We start from the raw sequence: 16,901 nt of genomic DNA, 5'->3' as shown, positions 1-16,901 counted from the left end.
ACACTGCTTCCTTGGAGCTACTCAACAAATAGTCAAATGGCCCTCCTGGGACTATGCAAAATATGGAATGCTTTCTGAATTTGTGTGCCATCCCTAGGCAGTAGCCATGCTTATCTGCTCTGTATTGATCCAATTTAAAATATGTGCTGTTAAAATAATTACAAAGCCCTGTTTGATACATGGATACTCATGAGTCATGGATGAGGCTTAGCTCTGTTAAATCCAACTCACTTACTTCAGATTCAGAGAATTTTATTGAATGGCTTCCTGTGAGGTAGAATTTTAAAATATATTGAAAACTTGAGGAAGAGCTGCAAGTAGCCCAGGAGATTTTCATGATTATAGAGACACATTACTTGAGGCACCAACTGCAAGCTGGTTCCCACTACTCAGTGGAAAGATAACATGGAACATTCTGCTATCTAACCAAAGCTGCTGCACAGGATATAAAAAAGCCTCAAGGTACAGATCTGATAGCAAAAGGAAAAGGGAACTCTGATCTCTTCCTGCAGCATTATTTGAACATCCCTGACTATTGAGAACAATCCCAACTAATATTGGTTAAAGGAAAGACAAGCATGGCTCTCAAAGGATAACATCCCATGAAGGCCTAGGCAAAGTCTAGCTAAGAGGTGGACTCCAAATAAGGTTTTTAGTGTAGGATGAGCATCAATTTGCTCAATATTTGTGTGGATAAAGCTAGGAGGCCTAGCTACCAGAGCAGGGTGCTGGGAAAAATAACTGAGCACAAGTACATAAACTAATAAACACCGTAGCTTTGACCTGTATATATGAATCACCATGAAAACTGAGAGGTCTGAATCAGTGAAGGCATCCTGGTGACAAAGGTCAATCATTATCAGATTGCAGGTCCGGTTACAATGGCAATAATACAGCAAGTGATGCCATGGAAACAACAGAATGATTAGAATGCCCCTTTTTTTTTCCCTTTCTTCTGACTTGCAAAGAAAGATTGCCTTCCTTGGACTTAGGAAACCCCTTAGCTTCTTGGAAAATTCAAAGAAGGAAGACACAGGAGAGAGCCCCAGGGGAAAATACAAGATTTTCTGCTAAATTGGACATTACAAGACTCAATAACTAATTAGAAAAGTTAGACCAGGCATGGTGGCTAGCACTTTCAGAGGCCGAGCCAGGGGGATTACTTGAGCTCAGGAGTTCAAGACCAGCCATGACAACAGAGTGAGACCTTGTCTCTAAAAAAAAAAAAAAAAAAAAAAAAAAAAAAGAAAGGAAAGGAAAAGAAATCAAAGATGTGGCTCTTTTTATCCAATGCATGGGGATTATACTTAGAATAAAATGAACAACATTGAGATCCCTAGGGATAAAGGTCTCAAAAATCCAGAAAAAATCTTGCACTCTACTTCTAACTAATCTAGACTTCTGCTTGATTTCTGGCTAAAAGGGAGACTAACTCATGGCTATTTCAAACTATCTGAACCAAACTATGAACTCTCACCTAATGTGTAAGATGGAGTAGTTGCAATTATTTTAAACTTCAATTTAGTATCAACTGGCCTTTTAACATAAACACTTACTTTGTCAAATGATGAGAAATAGTGTAATCTTCTGCATCTCGTCCACACGTCTTTAGTGAAGACATCAATATTTTGCTTAAGAAGGATATTGACAATACCTGGTGAGTCATAGTGTATAGCAATCATGAGGGCTGACCTAAAATAACAAAGAAATAACCCCACTCAAGAACTTTAATATCAAAAGCTAGTTTGATACACTTTACCAGTTTAGTATCCTCCTGTCAGTATAGATGTAATAACCATTTGCATGTACTAGCTTGGGTCTATAAGCATCTAGGGTGCTCAAGTGTTCATCTTTGAAAATTGTCACCAAGGCTAAAAGAAAGGGACAACAGGGAAGCCTCTTGTCCCACTGAGGTAAGACATAATACAAGTTGCTAACTTATAGTCCTTTGATGGCCAAGAAACTGTGCTGAGGTCACTTATGTAAAGTAGGCAAAGACTTAGATGAAGATTTCCCCATTCCTTTCCCAGTCCAATCAGCTAGGGGTCAGATAAGAGTTATCTGCAGGCTGAAAACAACAACAACAACAATGACAATAATAATAATGACAATACTAGTAGTCATAAATGAAAAGTCCACACTTTAAAAATTAATAAAACTGGTCAGGTGCAGTGGCTCATGCCTGTAATCCCAGCACTTTGGGAAGCCAAGGAGAGCAGATCACGAGGTCAAGAGATCGAGACAATCCTGGCCAACATGGTGAAATCCCATCTCTACTAAAAATACAAAAATTAACTGGGCATGGTGACGTGCACCTGTAGTCCCAGCTACTAGGGAGGCTGAGGCAGGAGAGTCGCTTGAACCTGGGAGGTGGAGGATGCAGTGAGCCAAGATTACACCACTGCACTCCAGCCTGGCAACAGAGCAAGACTCCATCTCAAAAAAAAAAATAATAAAACTAATACAAAACCCTTTAGCTAATAAAAGATTACAGTACCAAAAACATCTGATCATAAATACCAAACACTCTATATTATAAGAGAAGATGAATCCTACTATATACTATTCTTTATGTTACTCAGTCCAAATATTTGCTGGTCTACCTGATTATTCGTGGTGATATTTTTCATTATATGCCAATAATTATGTTAATCTTCTTATTAATATTTCTGACTTGAGTGACTGTTACCACTCTAGAATACTCAGGTTTTATTTTTAAAAAAAGAACGACTGTACCATCTCAGCCTATCCACAGCATGTGTACTTGCTTTGGTTTTCAATAAAAATTCCACCATTTTCTCTTTCTTGCAAATTATGGTGAATAAAAGTGGGATATTATTGTCCCATGAAACAGCACAAAAAAATTAATAATTCACAAAATTACATATTTCTCAACTGAACAGAAAATCTTCTCTGGGATGATTTGAACTTCAACATACAATATAGAAAGGAAGTAAATGAAAAGCAGCCGCTTCCTTCTCACTCCTCTGTGCTTTCTGATGTGCTGCGCTTTGCCTTGCAACAATCCTCCTCCGTCTCCCCGGATTAACTGTGGTCATTGCCAAAACTCACTTTAAAGGTTTACCAGTCCCAAGAATCCTTGCTTTGATCACAGTACTTAGCATGGTACATTGTAATAATTTCACTGTTTCCCACTGAAACCAAGAGCTTCTTGAGGCAAGGGCTGTATCTTTTGTCTCTATAGCCCCAAAACCCGAAGACATAGTAGCAAACATTTTAAGTTTTTTTACATAAATTAATGATCTAAATTATTCTCACTAAAGCAGTGTTTCTTAAACTATATTCCAAAGAATATTTGCTTTACCAGAAGTATTATACCCCAAGAGAAAGACTCCATGACCATCTGCATTTGAGAAGTATTATAAAACTGTATGTTATGTCCAATAATCAAGAAATCTATTGAATTTTACCTAATCTCCATTTGACAATATTATTTGTGGCAAACATTAACATTTGAGGAATTAAGAGGTTTAGGGGTACAGTTGCCAGAGTTTCCCAATGCAGGTGGAGGTTTCTTCTGGGTGGTACAAACTTGCTTGATTCACTTCTATCAATGCTGTCAGGATCACAGATGCCAATGTCAAGCACTCCTGCTCCAAATGGGTCACTATGGAAATGAACTCTGAATTAGGAGAGATTGGCTTCAAATGCACTTATTTTCCTTATTATTAAATAGTCCATGGGTTTTTTCCCTAATACAAGAGAACAGATTTTTATCTTTACTGTTAGAAAGCTCAGTATGTTCTGTGTAAGAGAAATAGGTTTAAAAAACTTAAGAACAAATATTTAAAAAACCAAAGCTCAGTAAGAAATACCATTCTCAATTATAATGGTAATCCCAGGACCTCAGGGCAGCTCTACTTTTTAAATCCATTTTTATTGGCTTCCACTTAAAGGGCTACTTAAAATTATTTTTTATTTTAGAGAAAATATAAATCAGAAATAAAAACATAATGGCTTATCAATAAAAGTTCTCATACTGATCCATATGAATTATTTCCGGCATAACAAAAGCCAGTAAGTCACTGGCATTTCTAAGGAAGAGCCCTGAGGAGAAAGATGTAATGTCTGCAATATTCATAAATTATCCAACTATAACCAGGAATAACCTAAAAAGGCTTCTAGGCATTCTTATGGGCAGATAATTATTTGTGGTATATATAAAGAAAAGAGTTTCAAAACTTCTAAATTCTAAAATTAAACTCCATAACTGAGGGATTTATATACTATATAGACTATATATTATAACAAATACGTGCTGACTTAAAAACCTTGAAATCTCTATCAAAATATACTATAACATAGGAGTTGTAAACTCAGATACTTACAAGGACAAAGGAAGGTTGCCTGAGTAAAGGAAGTACTAAGGTGGGCACAGTAGCAAACTGGAGAATACATGCATTCTCTAAAGGGGCAACCTCTGCACAGCAGACCAAATAGTGATAGAAACTCAGGGGACAGCAGATTTGATTTTTTAGAATAAGCCTGAAGTCCAGATTTCTACACCAGTCTTCTAAATTTTACATGTTGATTCAACTTATAGAGGCAAACAAACAAATCTGTGTACCACATTAGAATATAGCCCTTGTGTTTTTATATTCGCCATTAATGTGTTACTAAATGGTTGTGTATAATCCAAGTATTTGCATGTAAAATATTTTCTTTCTCTAGTATCATGTTTTACCAAAAAATCAGGCTCTCATATATAATAAAAATTGCTACAAAAGACTCATAATACCTGCTTCAAGAATTTTTCCAACATTTATTCATTTAAAATATATTTGTATATAATTTTCCCAGATTGTTAACCAAATAGATAACTGGTTCATAGGACTGCCAAAACTAAATTATTAAAAGAATTCATATCTGTATTTTTATTAACTCCATGGACTTCAGTGTTTAAAACTGACATTTTGGGTATGCTAAAGCTCTATAAACTTCACAAACACACTGAGCTAGTTCATAATACAACTTCAACTAAAAAAAATAGTTTAGGATTTGCTACTATTCTAATTGAGAAAGCCAAACTTGTAATGAACATTTGTTGACACATAATCACGTGCATGGTGACAAAGGGACATGAAATCATGAAAGGGTCAGCCTCTACTTATTGAAAGATTACCCATAAGCAAATTGCTAAAGACTCCCTGAATGTTAGTGAAGGATTAACGGTGGGAAGGAAAAGGGTGTTATTCTGTAAGCTGAGAGATATTGCCAGTAATATTTCCTTTCACTTCCCAGTCACAGATGTAGAGAAAGACAGATAAGTCAGGCTAATATTACTGAAAAGGAGAACTTTGAATGAAGTAGCACCTATCAAACACCAATTCTTCTAGACATTTCTTACGTTTTTGAGATACAGAAATTTATATGTTGCACTTATCTATTCTGGGGTTCTTAATCAGGAGTGTATCCGAAACTTGAGGGTTTTTTTTTTTTTTTTTTTGCTGTTATTGTTGTTAGAGGCAAGAGTCTCACTATGTTGCTCAAGCTGAACTTAAACTCAGGTTCAAGCTGGGACTACAGGAACATGTCACTGTGCCCACCTTCAAGAAAATGTTTTTAAAAATGTTCAGTCCTTATTAGGTCTATTACATCAAAATCCTCAGGGGAAAGCCTACAATTGTAGATTTTTAACAAAATGTCCTCAGGTCACCGTAATGCACAATTCTGAGAATTAGTGCAGCAGACAATCACTTCAGTCTCATCTCTCACCCGCATGGCTAATTCCCTTTATCAGTTGGACATGTGACCAAAAGGAGAAAAGAGTAAGAGATAGTGTCATTTATTAAAGCTCCAGTTAAATTTCCTGGCTATGGGTAGAACACAGACAAGTAAACTCAAAATCCAACTTGATTTTGCTATTTATAAGCTCCTTATCTCCCACCTTCCCACCAAGACATTCTAGGTTTGAGAGGAGGCTTTAGACTCTTATCTAAGTGGCTGTTTCTGCCAGGATGGGCAATAAGTCAGTTAATAATTTGTTCCACCTTCTGCTGAAGTGTTTCTCACTTCATCACCACCTATTCACTGCCAATCTGGTTTCCTCAAAGTCTTCTTAAAATTAATCTCTAGGCAAGTTTCAACTCACTCTCATTTTCAAACCAAAAATTATTAGACCCAAAGCTAAGGAGCACCTTGTCTCAACACATAAACTGGAAGAATAACAAACTAAGAGAAGAAAAAAAAAAACTCTTCTTGACATTTTCCCTCATTACCTAATTTCCAAGTGACCTGCAAATTTCTGATTGCTCTCCTTTTCCCTTCCCATTTTTCCCTCTTAAGCCTTGTGCCACTGAGAGATGATACATCAGTTTTTTAGAAAATTATCAGCAGCAGCAACATGTCCACTTATTGTAAATTGCTTTAGTTTTGTTTGAGTTTTAAAATAAAACCTATTTCCAGGGCATATTTTCTTTCCTGTGTTGTTTTGTACTAATTAGGGGGGAAAAAAAGGAAAGAACAACCCTGCGTAGAAAAAAAGTTGAAAAGGTTTTACCTTTAACAAATTCACAAGTATTTTCCAAAGTGCGTTTTATAAAACTGTACCCTTTAATGCACCTTTAAAAGCATCAATATTTAAAATAAAATCTTAGACAATTATTTCAAAATAATTTGCATTTGCATTCAGGGAATGGTTGAGCTTCCAAATATAAAAAATTGACCCTTACCTGTGTCAATGTTAAAACAAATATTTTGGAAAGAAAGTTGATTGATCTATACCTTGTCCAGTGCTTCAATATTTGCACCATGGAAATGCAGTTTTTCTGCCAGTGAGGTGCTCTCACTATACACAGCATAATGGAGAGCAGTGTTGCGGTAGATATCCTTAAGGTTTGGATTGGTGCCATGTTCCAGCAGAATAACAGTGCAAGCCTCTTCCTGGCAATGGACAGCCTGTCTGTATTAGACCAAGAAATAGATTGTAAATTCTAAGAAATTCAAAATAAACATTCCACAGGTTTCACCAACTAGTTATATTTAAATGAGATCAATTTATTTTAATTCTATGTATGCAAATCAAATCCATGTCATGATAAAAGAGTTGGCTCTAATATACCTGTATCAAAGGCGTTCTATTTTCTTTGTCACAGATATCAATCTGGCATTTTCTGCTAACCAGGAGAGTGACCACTTTCACCTGGTCACTGGCACAGGCCAAATGTAGAGCAGTTCTATGAGAGTAAGAGGACTTTTTAGGAAACTGTAGTGCAACGTCTCAAAACATACAATCATTCATGTAACTGTAAAAATTGAATAGCATGTTTTTCCTCTGCCTTCAAAACAAATACTTAATTTTTTTGAAGAAAGCACAATACTTACTAGCTCTTATTGATCACTGCCTTAATAAAAACAGCAGCCTATTTGAATAGAAAGAGCTCAGTCTTTGGATTCAGTTCAACTAGGGCTTGAGTCCTACTTTAAACCCTGTCACTTACCAACTATTGCTTAGCCTTTCTGTATTTCAACTTCCTCATTAATAAAGATGACAATAGTAGCTATCTCATAGGACACCATCATGATGCTTAAATGAGAAGTTATGTATTTAGAATACTTCCTATAACTCAATAATTATAAGATTTTTGTTTTTTGAGACAAAGTCTCACTCTTTTGCCCAGGCTGGAGTGCAACGATGTAACTATAGCTCACTGCAGCCTGGAACCCCAGGGCTCAAGCGATCCTCCTTCCCCAGCCTCCTGAGTAGCTGGGACTACAGATGTGCACCAGCATGCCCAGCTATTTATTTAAAAATTTTTGTAGAGTAAGAATCTCACTTTGTTGCCCAGGATGGTCTCAATCTCCTGGCACCAAGCAATCCTCTCACCTCAGCCTCCCAAAGTTCTGGGATTACATGTGTGAGCCACTGCACCCAGCCAGATATTATAATTGTTACTATTAATACTACTTAAAAAAACATTTTAATTAGGTAAAAGACACAATTATACCTACTTTGCAGGATGGCTTAAAGAGTAGGTCACATTTTAATACTTCTGACATTGGAATGTCACTTATATTATTATAACTGTAATTGGTAGCATTTTAAAAATTATCTTATCGATATATAAAATAGCGGGGCATCTCACAATCCATGAGACCTTACATTAAGTAGAATATGGTGTACGCAGCAGGTCTAGGGCAGTTCTAGGCATATAACTGGCATGTAAATACATTTTAGTTCTTAAAGGTACTATGGGGATAGAACACTGAAATAATGCATTTTTTAAACAAATTAATTCCTTGATTTTCAAACAAATTGAAGACAAAGGAAACTCATGATTCAAATGAATACATATGGCTTATTTTATTCAATATTTATGCTTACAGAATATATGCAAATAAGACATTCCCATGATTAATATTAGTATTTAAGACTGATAAACTTTTGAATGGGCAGTTTAAGCTTATCTTCTACTATTTTCTAACTTCAGAAATGCTTTTGTTTGAAAGTTGGGAGACAAAGTTTCAAGGAGATTAAGTCCCAATATTCCTATTTTAAATCTCTCAGCTTCTGCAGGCAGGGCAGGTAAACATGAAGTTTTTAAGGATAGAAGGGTCCTGAGAGATAGCAGAATATGTCTGCTACATAACAGGTACTCAGGTTATGTTTGATGAATAAATAGAATGAAAGAATGGATAAATACAGTTGGGGAGTTCAATATTTTTAAATAAACTCCTATAAAGCAATATTTTTGCAATAGTAATTATTTATAATGTTATTTTTATTTTTAAAGAATACAATTAAAATAAAATGATTAATCTATCATTGTTTGCATAAATTGAATGAATACATAAGAAAAACATATGTACATAATAAAATATATAGATAATAAAATCTGGAAACAGATAAAAACATTCCCTTTTTACTTCTGAAGAGGCTAAAAGTTCAAAGAAGATAACAATACACTCAATAATGATAAAAAATAGAAAGCAAGAAATTATTTTTAATATTGTAAGATTCATATTCCTGTCTTCCCAAGGATTATTCCTTTATTAATAAATTTTACTAGAAGTTTTGTACATGCTCACTGCAGCAATCACAGATAAGAAAAAGGAAAAGAACTTTACTTAAAATTAATTGATTTTTTTCCTCACTAGCTACAACAAAATACCTCTTCGCACATCAATATACTTCTGTATCTATTGCCACCTTCAATGGTCACATATTATTCCATCCTGTTGATGCAACTGAAATTTATTTATAGGATCCATTCTTTGGGTTCTTTTTAAAATAAGTGAGGTGAAAAATAAAGTGCATGTATCTTTATTTCCTGAGGGTGTTTTAGTATAATGGAATTGATGGGTAAAGGGCATACATATTTTTTAATTGTAGTACTTACCACCAAATTATCTATTTGAAAAATAATCAGCAACTTAAACTTTAAGCAGGAGTATAAAACATCCTCACAAATATTGTGGATAGAAAACTGTTTCATTCCTCTTTTAATTTAAATTCTTATACCAGAAATGCGAAGGACTTTTTCCTATGTACACAAGTAACTTGCAGATCTGGAAAAGTGTACTTTGCCCAATTTTAGAGTGTTTGATGATTTGATTTGAAAGAATTCCCTGTCAAATGAAAATGTACTTTTCATCTAATGTGTATATATAACTGATATATATGACATATTATATCTGGTATATATGTATATGTATCAGATATATATATATATATATATATATATATATATATATATATATATATAAAACTTATGATATATAATAAACAACATAGGCCGGGCGCGGTGGCTCACACCTGTAATCCCAGCACTTTGGGAGGCGGAGGCGGGCAGATCACTTGAGGTCAGGAGTTCGAGACCAGCCTGGCCAACGTGGTGAAACCCCCTCTCTACTAAATATACAAAAATTAGCCAGGCACGCTGGCACCTGCCTGTAATCCAAGCTACTTGGGAGGCTGAGGTAGGAGAATTGCTTGAACCCGGCAGGCAGAGGTTGAAGTGAGCCAAGATTGTGCCGTTGGACACCAGCCTGGGCAAAGAAGCGAGACTCTGACTCAAAAAAAAAAAAAAAAAAAGAATATAATGAATTCCCTATAAAATGAAAACATACTTTTCATCTGAAAATACATATATATATAATATAGTAAATATTTTTCAAGTAAGCTCTCTTATCTGAGAACTTTTCGCCTACTGAAATAACTCACGGTATTTTTGATAGGGGAATGAGTTCTCTCATTAGGCACCTCCTATAATGTATATAAACCATGTTTTCAACGTGTACGTTAAAAATAACAACACTGTGTATGCTTAACTTTGTGAGTTAAATCACTCAAATTCTCCAACTGCTCCAGCCAGGGAATTATGAGGGATGGAAAACAGCTGAGAGTCCGTTTGGCTCCGCCGTTCTGAGGGTGCCCGGAGCCCTGAAAGGCCCTGTCCCAGGGGCTGCGGGGAAGCCGGGCCTGGGGACCCCCTCCCACCCTGGGCTGAGCCCCCGCTATCTGTGCTGCTTGTTCAGGGCGTCTAGGTCTCCACTCCTGCGCGCCAGGCAGCGCTCCACCCCCGCGGCGTCGCCCTTGACAGCTGCCCTGTGGATCTTCTGCAGTTCGGAGTCCCGGATTCGGTATCCGAACCCGTGTAGACATGTTCTATGGAGCCCTGGGCCGTCTGGCCCCTGCGGCTCCCAAAGCCGAATAACTTCACAGTGGTGACTTCTCAGACCCCCAACCTCCGGCTCTTGAGCGGGGGCAGCTCCCTGTCACCTTTTCACCACCCCCCTCCCGCGACCCCGGCCGACCTCCCTGTCACCTTTTCACCAACCCCCTCCCCCGAACCCGGCCGACCCAGCCCCAAATCCCCTATCCAACCCGAAATCCCTGATCCAACCCCAAATCCGCGATCAACCCCCAATCCGCGATCCCAAATCTGTGATCTACTCCACAGTCCGCGATCCGGCCCGGTCCACCACAGCCTTCAGCAGCGACACTCGCAGCCTCCGACCTCTCAGGCCGAGTGAGCCTCGCAAAGGCCTTGGGCGCGCGCCTGCATGGCGGTTGCTGCCCGGCTCCCGGAAGCCGCTCCCTGGCGGCGCGCGCTGGCAGGTGGGGCTGCAGCTCTGGGCGGGCGCCGATGGGCTCGCCGGTCCTCTTTGGATCGCCCGGGCGGCCCCAGGATCGCAGGAGCGCCGCCAGCCCGGCCTGAGAAGGAGGGCCTGTCTGGCATTGCAGCCCGCCCCGCTCCTCCTCGGAAGGGAGATAGGGTGCTGGCAAGAGCACTCCGCGGCCACCTGGGTGGCTTCGCGGATGGCCCGGCTTCACGCTGAGGCTCTGGCCCTGGAGTCTGTGTGGCTAGTGTCAGGTAGCTGGAGAGGCATGGAGGCAGAGTCAGGGGCTGCTCCTTCCCCCACCAGCCCTCACTGCTGCCAGTACCCCACGCGCGGTTTGCAGCTGCAGATCTGGCACTGGCGTGGGATGGCGGAGCTTCCCTTGGATGGCCTCAGGGTCGCAGAGCGCACAGCCCACCTGGCCTCAAGTTCCGCTCCTCTTGGGCATCTCTCTGGATCCTGGGCCCTGGCGCTGGGCACTCTCTATCCACACGGATGAAACTGAGCGGCTGCTGGCGGGGCCCGTCGCCTGATTTTACTGCCTGGGGGTCTGGCCTCAGTATCCGCGCTGCTGGGGGGTGGGCCTGGTCTGGGCTGTCCAGTCACTTACTGCCGGTGCACCACGTCTAGACTGCAGCTGCGGCTCCGATGATGGTGTGAGCTGGCGGGCCTGGTACCTGATGTCCTCAGGGTCAAGTGCATCGCCCGCCCACTTGAGGGGTTGCTGTGACTTGGCCTCCTTCAAGAACGCAGGGGCCGCCGGGGCTGGCTCTTCGTGGTAACCGGGATGGTATTGAGCAGCAGATTTTCACCCTGGTGCCACTGCTGTGCGGACTGCCTGACTTGGGTGCCCAGGCACCGGCCTCAGGGTGCGCGTGGCAGCTGTGTGTGCGGGTAGGGGGAGTGGCACGGAGGGTCAGGGGTTGCTTCGTCATCTCTGCCTGTGTGCAACTTGCAGTTTTGCAGTTTTCTGCAGCAGCTGAGGTGCTGGCGCGGGAAAGTGGAGCTCCCTTGGATGGCGTCAGGTTTGCAGGCACAGAGCACAGCCCACCAGGCCTGAGGGTCTACTCAGGGGCCATGGTGGTTGAGTTCTCCGTGGAAACTGGGATGGGGTGAACGGCCAGTTCCCGTCCTTTGGCAGCCTGGCCAACTGCCAGACTTAGCCTCTGCCGCCCAGGCATCTGTCTCTAGGGTTGCCGCTACTTGGATAGAAGTGGGGATCGGGGTGGGGCGTGGAGCGTCACCGGTTGCCAGGCCAGCACTGTCTTTGCAACATATTCAGATGGCCGCGGGCAGCTCGGGCACCAGCATGGGCTGGCGGGGCTCCCCTGGAAGGCCCTCAGATTGCTCACAGCATTGTCCCAGGGCTTCCTTGGCCTGTGCCATGTGGGCAAGGTAGGGGGGAGCTTCCAAGGCTTCTATCCCAACTCTAGCTATTTCTAGCTATTTTCTCTTGAGTTATTTTGCGTCTATCTCAGTTTTATTTGCAAAAATAGTATATGCAAAATACATCGAGTGAATGTACATCAGGCATATAGAAGATCTGGCAGAAACACGTTTTCTCATGCCCATTTCCAGTCAGTATTTGAACACAGACGCTTCCATGGTTTTGATTCTTTCCACAAAAGGATAGTTTTGTCTGTTTTCACCATTTACATAAGTGAAACTATACATTATATAATTTTATGTTCATTCACTAAACATGCTTGTGACACATCATTTTGCTCCTATTGATTATTCATTAATTTTATTTTGTAATACTCAATTTTATGACTATACCACAGGTTTGAGGCCTTTGCTTGTTTTGTTTTTAATCCATTCCACTATTGATAGACACAAAAGCAGTTTCTGATTTGAGGCTATCATGAATAAACCTGCTATGAATGAATCAGATATACACGTTTTTCTGTAATAATATTTTCACTTTTCTTGAGTTTAAGTACATAAGAGTGGATTTTCTGGGTTACAAAATAAGTATATATTTGGCATTGTATGAAATGGGGAGACATTTTCCTAAGTGGTTGTGCCATCTTAAACTACAATGAAAATGTTTGAGAGAATCAGTTCCACTTTCTAACCAACACTTGATGCTGTCAGTTGTTTTAGTGTTATCCATTCTTATGGGATATAACTGCTGAGTAGCTGTCTGCCTTCCCAATAACACAGAAAATTGAGGGCCCAGAGGACAGTTTTATTTTCATATTTGACACCTTCTATTATTTTTTATAGAAGGGTGATTTGGGTAGTAAAATTGTCTTTCAATTTTCTAGGTTGTCTCTGAATCTTACTGGGGTTCCTGGTCCTAAACCACATTCAGAAATTTTCACGACCAACTTATTTTTATCTTTGTCATACCAGGCCAATGAGGGACTGCATTCCTGAGACTTTTTAAGTACTTTTTGTGTGTATGATGGTCTAATAATCATAGTCTTAAAACTTTCTGGCTGGGCATGGTGGCTCATGGCTGTAATCCCAGCACTTCGAGAGGCCGAGGCGGGCGGATCACCTGAAGTCGGGAGTTTGAGACCAGCCTGACCAACGTGGATAAACCCCAACTCTACTAAAAATAAAAAAAAATTAGCTGGGCATGGTGGCACATGCCTGTAATCCCAGCTACTTGGGAGGCAGGAGCTACTTGGGCTGAGGCAGGAGAATCACTTGAACCCACGAAGTGGGGGTTGTAGTTAGCCGAGATCACACCATTGCACTCCAGCCTGGGCAACAAGAGTGAAATTCCGTCTCAAAAAAAAAAAAAAAAAAAGAATCTCAGACTTCTGGGAAACACTGAATTTGTGAATATGTACAGCATGTCACAATAACTTTTTTTTTTTGAGACCAAGTCTCACTCTGCTGTCCAAGCTGGAGTGCAGTGGCCCATCTCAGCTCACTGCAACTTCTGCCTCCTAGATTCAAGCAATTCTCCTGTCTTGGCCTCCTGAGTAGCTGGGATTACAGGTGCTGCAACCATGCCTTGCTAATTTTTGTATTTTTAGTAGAGACAGAGTTTCACATATTGGCCAGGCTGGTCTCAAACACTTCACCTCAGATGATCCACCTGCCTCAGCCAATGGGTGGATTGTTAACTCAAAATACGCACCATTGAATACTGAGGAAAATGTATAGCCATCAACACCAGCAGCTGAGATGAGAGTTGAGATACCAGAAATGCCCCAGCATGTAACTCCTCTTTTAATTCTCACACACACACACACACACACACACACACGTACACTCATGGTAACCAGTTCAGGATGGACACAGAAACAGTCACAGTCTTTTTGGGGAACACACTCCCCTGTGACACTTAGATCCTAATGCTGACTCCAATTCCCTCCCAGGACCTCCCCTCTCCTTGCAGCGTGCTAGGCTTTCCCTTAGAAAACTCCATGTCATTTCATTCAATGGAACATCAATCAGCTTCACCCACAGTGTCTGCATGTCTCTGTCCATAGCAAATGTTTTTATTACTTTAAAATATAGATTTTTACCTTAACTAGCCAAGACTTAGGACCCTTTTTCCAAGCTCTTTTAGATGAAGTAATAAATGCAAATATTAGAGTTGTGTATATGTGTATAAATATATGGAGAAAAGATGTTGCCTAGTTGTACAAATTAGCCTTAACAAAACTCCTGATTTAAATTATTTAATTGTGAGAAGGGCGATTCTAACTCAACACATCAATGAAATAAAAGCCTTATCCCTCTGCTCCGCCAAAATATCCCATTTAGAGCCTGCGTGTGTGTGTACACACACGTGTGCACTCATCCCCATCTGACCGTATCAAATTATTATTTAAACTAGATATTTTTACTTTGTTTCATAGTAGTAATGGTTTCTGGAATGGAAAAAAAAAAAGGAGAATAAAACTGTTTAAAATGTATCTCCAGGTGAACGCTGTGGCCACTGCACCGACCCCGCCGATGGCGCCCAGTACCTGCGTCTCAGGAAGAGGTTCTGGCGGGGCCTCTGCCTGAGGCCGCGCCCCTGGGACCTGTCCCGCGTCCACGTGAACGCGGAGCGCAGCATTCACCATCCCCTCCCTGAAACAGCGGTCCCCGAGGTGCTCCACAGGCAGGGCCGAGCTGGGCGAGGGGGAGCCCAGGCCCTGCACCGGCCGCCCTGAGCGGCGGGGACGTAAGAAGAGCTCACCGGCTCCACCAGCCCCTACCCCAGACGTGGGACCTGGGACCAGAAAAGACCTGGAACCCCCGCCCCACGGCTGCCAGGAGGCTGACAGGGACAGCTCCTGGGGGGGCTACAGCCCCGAGGCCGTTCCGCCAGAACTTGAGCCACTTGGGAAGGGGCAGCGCCCCACCCCTGAAGAGGAACCTGTGTCCTGGAGGCAGCAGCCTGGGAGCTCCTCCTCTGAGGACAGGGCAGAGGCGAATGACTCTGGTGGCGCAGCGCTGGCTTTCCCGTCCGAGGAGAAGGAGAGCTGCGGGGCTGGGTGAGCTGGACCAGGGAGCATGGCTGGCTGCTGTCGGCCTCCGATGGGGAGTGGACAGCTTAGGGGGTTGCCCCCGTGCCAACCGGTCTGCTGGCCACGCTGAGCTTCATTACCGCCTCACCTGCCTGCGCAGGCACCTAGCACCCCAGGCTGGAGCTTTTGGCCATGCTGGTCAACTTCCCCAATGAGCCTCCGCTGCCTGGGAACAGCAAGGCCAGGGCTACACTGCCCTGCACTTGGCAGCCATGTACCTTGGAGATGGTGAAGCTGCTAGTCAGGACCTAGGACGCCGATGTGGACATCAGGGACTACATTGGGAAAAGGGCCTCCCAGTATGTGAGTCAGAGCATCATAGAAGAGATCGAGACCCTGGTGGGAGTCCTGGACGAGGACGACGGGGAGAGCACCGCCAGCAGCGGGGGTGGGTACTGAAAGATTTAAAAGGTGCCCCCTCTATTTCATCACCTACAAACTCTCACACGTCCTGGAAGATGGGGGGACCCTCTTCACCATCACCACTTGGCTGAAGGTGGTTCAGAGGCGAAGCCAAGGATTCCAGGGCGCACAGCCTCGGGCAGGACTAATAGACTTAAAAAACACAGGCTCAACAAAATCCACTTCACAACCCAGATGGTTCACATCACACCCTCTTTCAGGGACCCAGAGCAGCCACTGGAAGAGAAGGAGTAGGAACGCTCTCTTAAAGGCCACTTATCCTATTCCTTCAAATTAAGACCAAAGTCCAATGTATTTAGGTAAAAATAATTTCTTTTAGAAAATGCTAAGGTTTGTCTTATGAAATTTAATAACAGAAACAAAAAAAGAACACTAGATGTAAGGAAGTGGGACCAGAAAAGACAAACTAAACTATCCTTACTAGGTTGGAATGGATGGGGTGGAGTTCCCATCAGGCTAGCATTCTGGGGAAAGTGTTTTTTTTGTTGTTTTCTTTTTTGTTTGTTTGTTTTTTGTTTTGTTTTTTTTGGCGGGGGGGCACGGAGTCTCGCTCTGTCGCCCAGGATGGAATGGCCTTTGACATGTCAATGTTTTATTGTAAATCGTGACAGACTATCTACATAGAATACTCATGATTTACAATCTGAGATTGTCAACCCAGCCAGTAACCTATGTAGCACTGAATTCAAATACCAGAAAAAAGACCCAGATTCCCTCACCACCTAGCAGAGCTCAAGTGAGCTACACAGCCTGGTAGGGAATGGGGAGCAATTAAAAGGTTGTAAGCAGGTACTACTATAGTCAGATGAGTTTTTGACAGGTTATTCTAAAAGCACTGAGAAAAGAAAACTGTTGTAGTATTCCAGATAAGATCATGTGGTCTGTAAAAGGACAGTGTCAAGGATATAGAAAAGA

At 41.7% G+C, this 16,901-nt stretch overlaps 1 non-coding gene and 1 pseudogene across 1 annotated transcript; one reads left to right on the top strand and one right to left on the bottom strand.

Moving 5' to 3' along the window:
* Positions 1 to 56: 56 nt before the first annotated feature.
* LOC124902333 (U6 spliceosomal RNA) lies at positions 57 to 162 on the bottom strand. The gene has a single exon (XR_007061909.1). It is a non-coding gene; the product is annotated as a U6 spliceosomal RNA (small nuclear RNA).
* A 12,202-nt stretch (positions 163 to 12,364) lies between these two features.
* Positions 12,365 to 16,057, top strand: SOWAHCP4 (SOWAHC pseudogene 4; annotated as a pseudogene).
* Positions 16,058 to 16,901: the final 844 nt, after the last annotated feature.

The sequence above is a fragment of the Homo sapiens genome, chromosome 9 (assembly GCF_000001405.40).
Source record: "Homo sapiens chromosome 9, GRCh38.p14 Primary Assembly".
In the NCBI taxonomy this organism is placed as follows: Eukaryota; Metazoa; Chordata; class Mammalia; order Primates; family Hominidae; genus Homo; species Homo sapiens.
The sequence above is the reverse complement of the archived record's forward strand: the minus strand, read 5'-3'. Positions and strand labels throughout refer to the sequence as shown.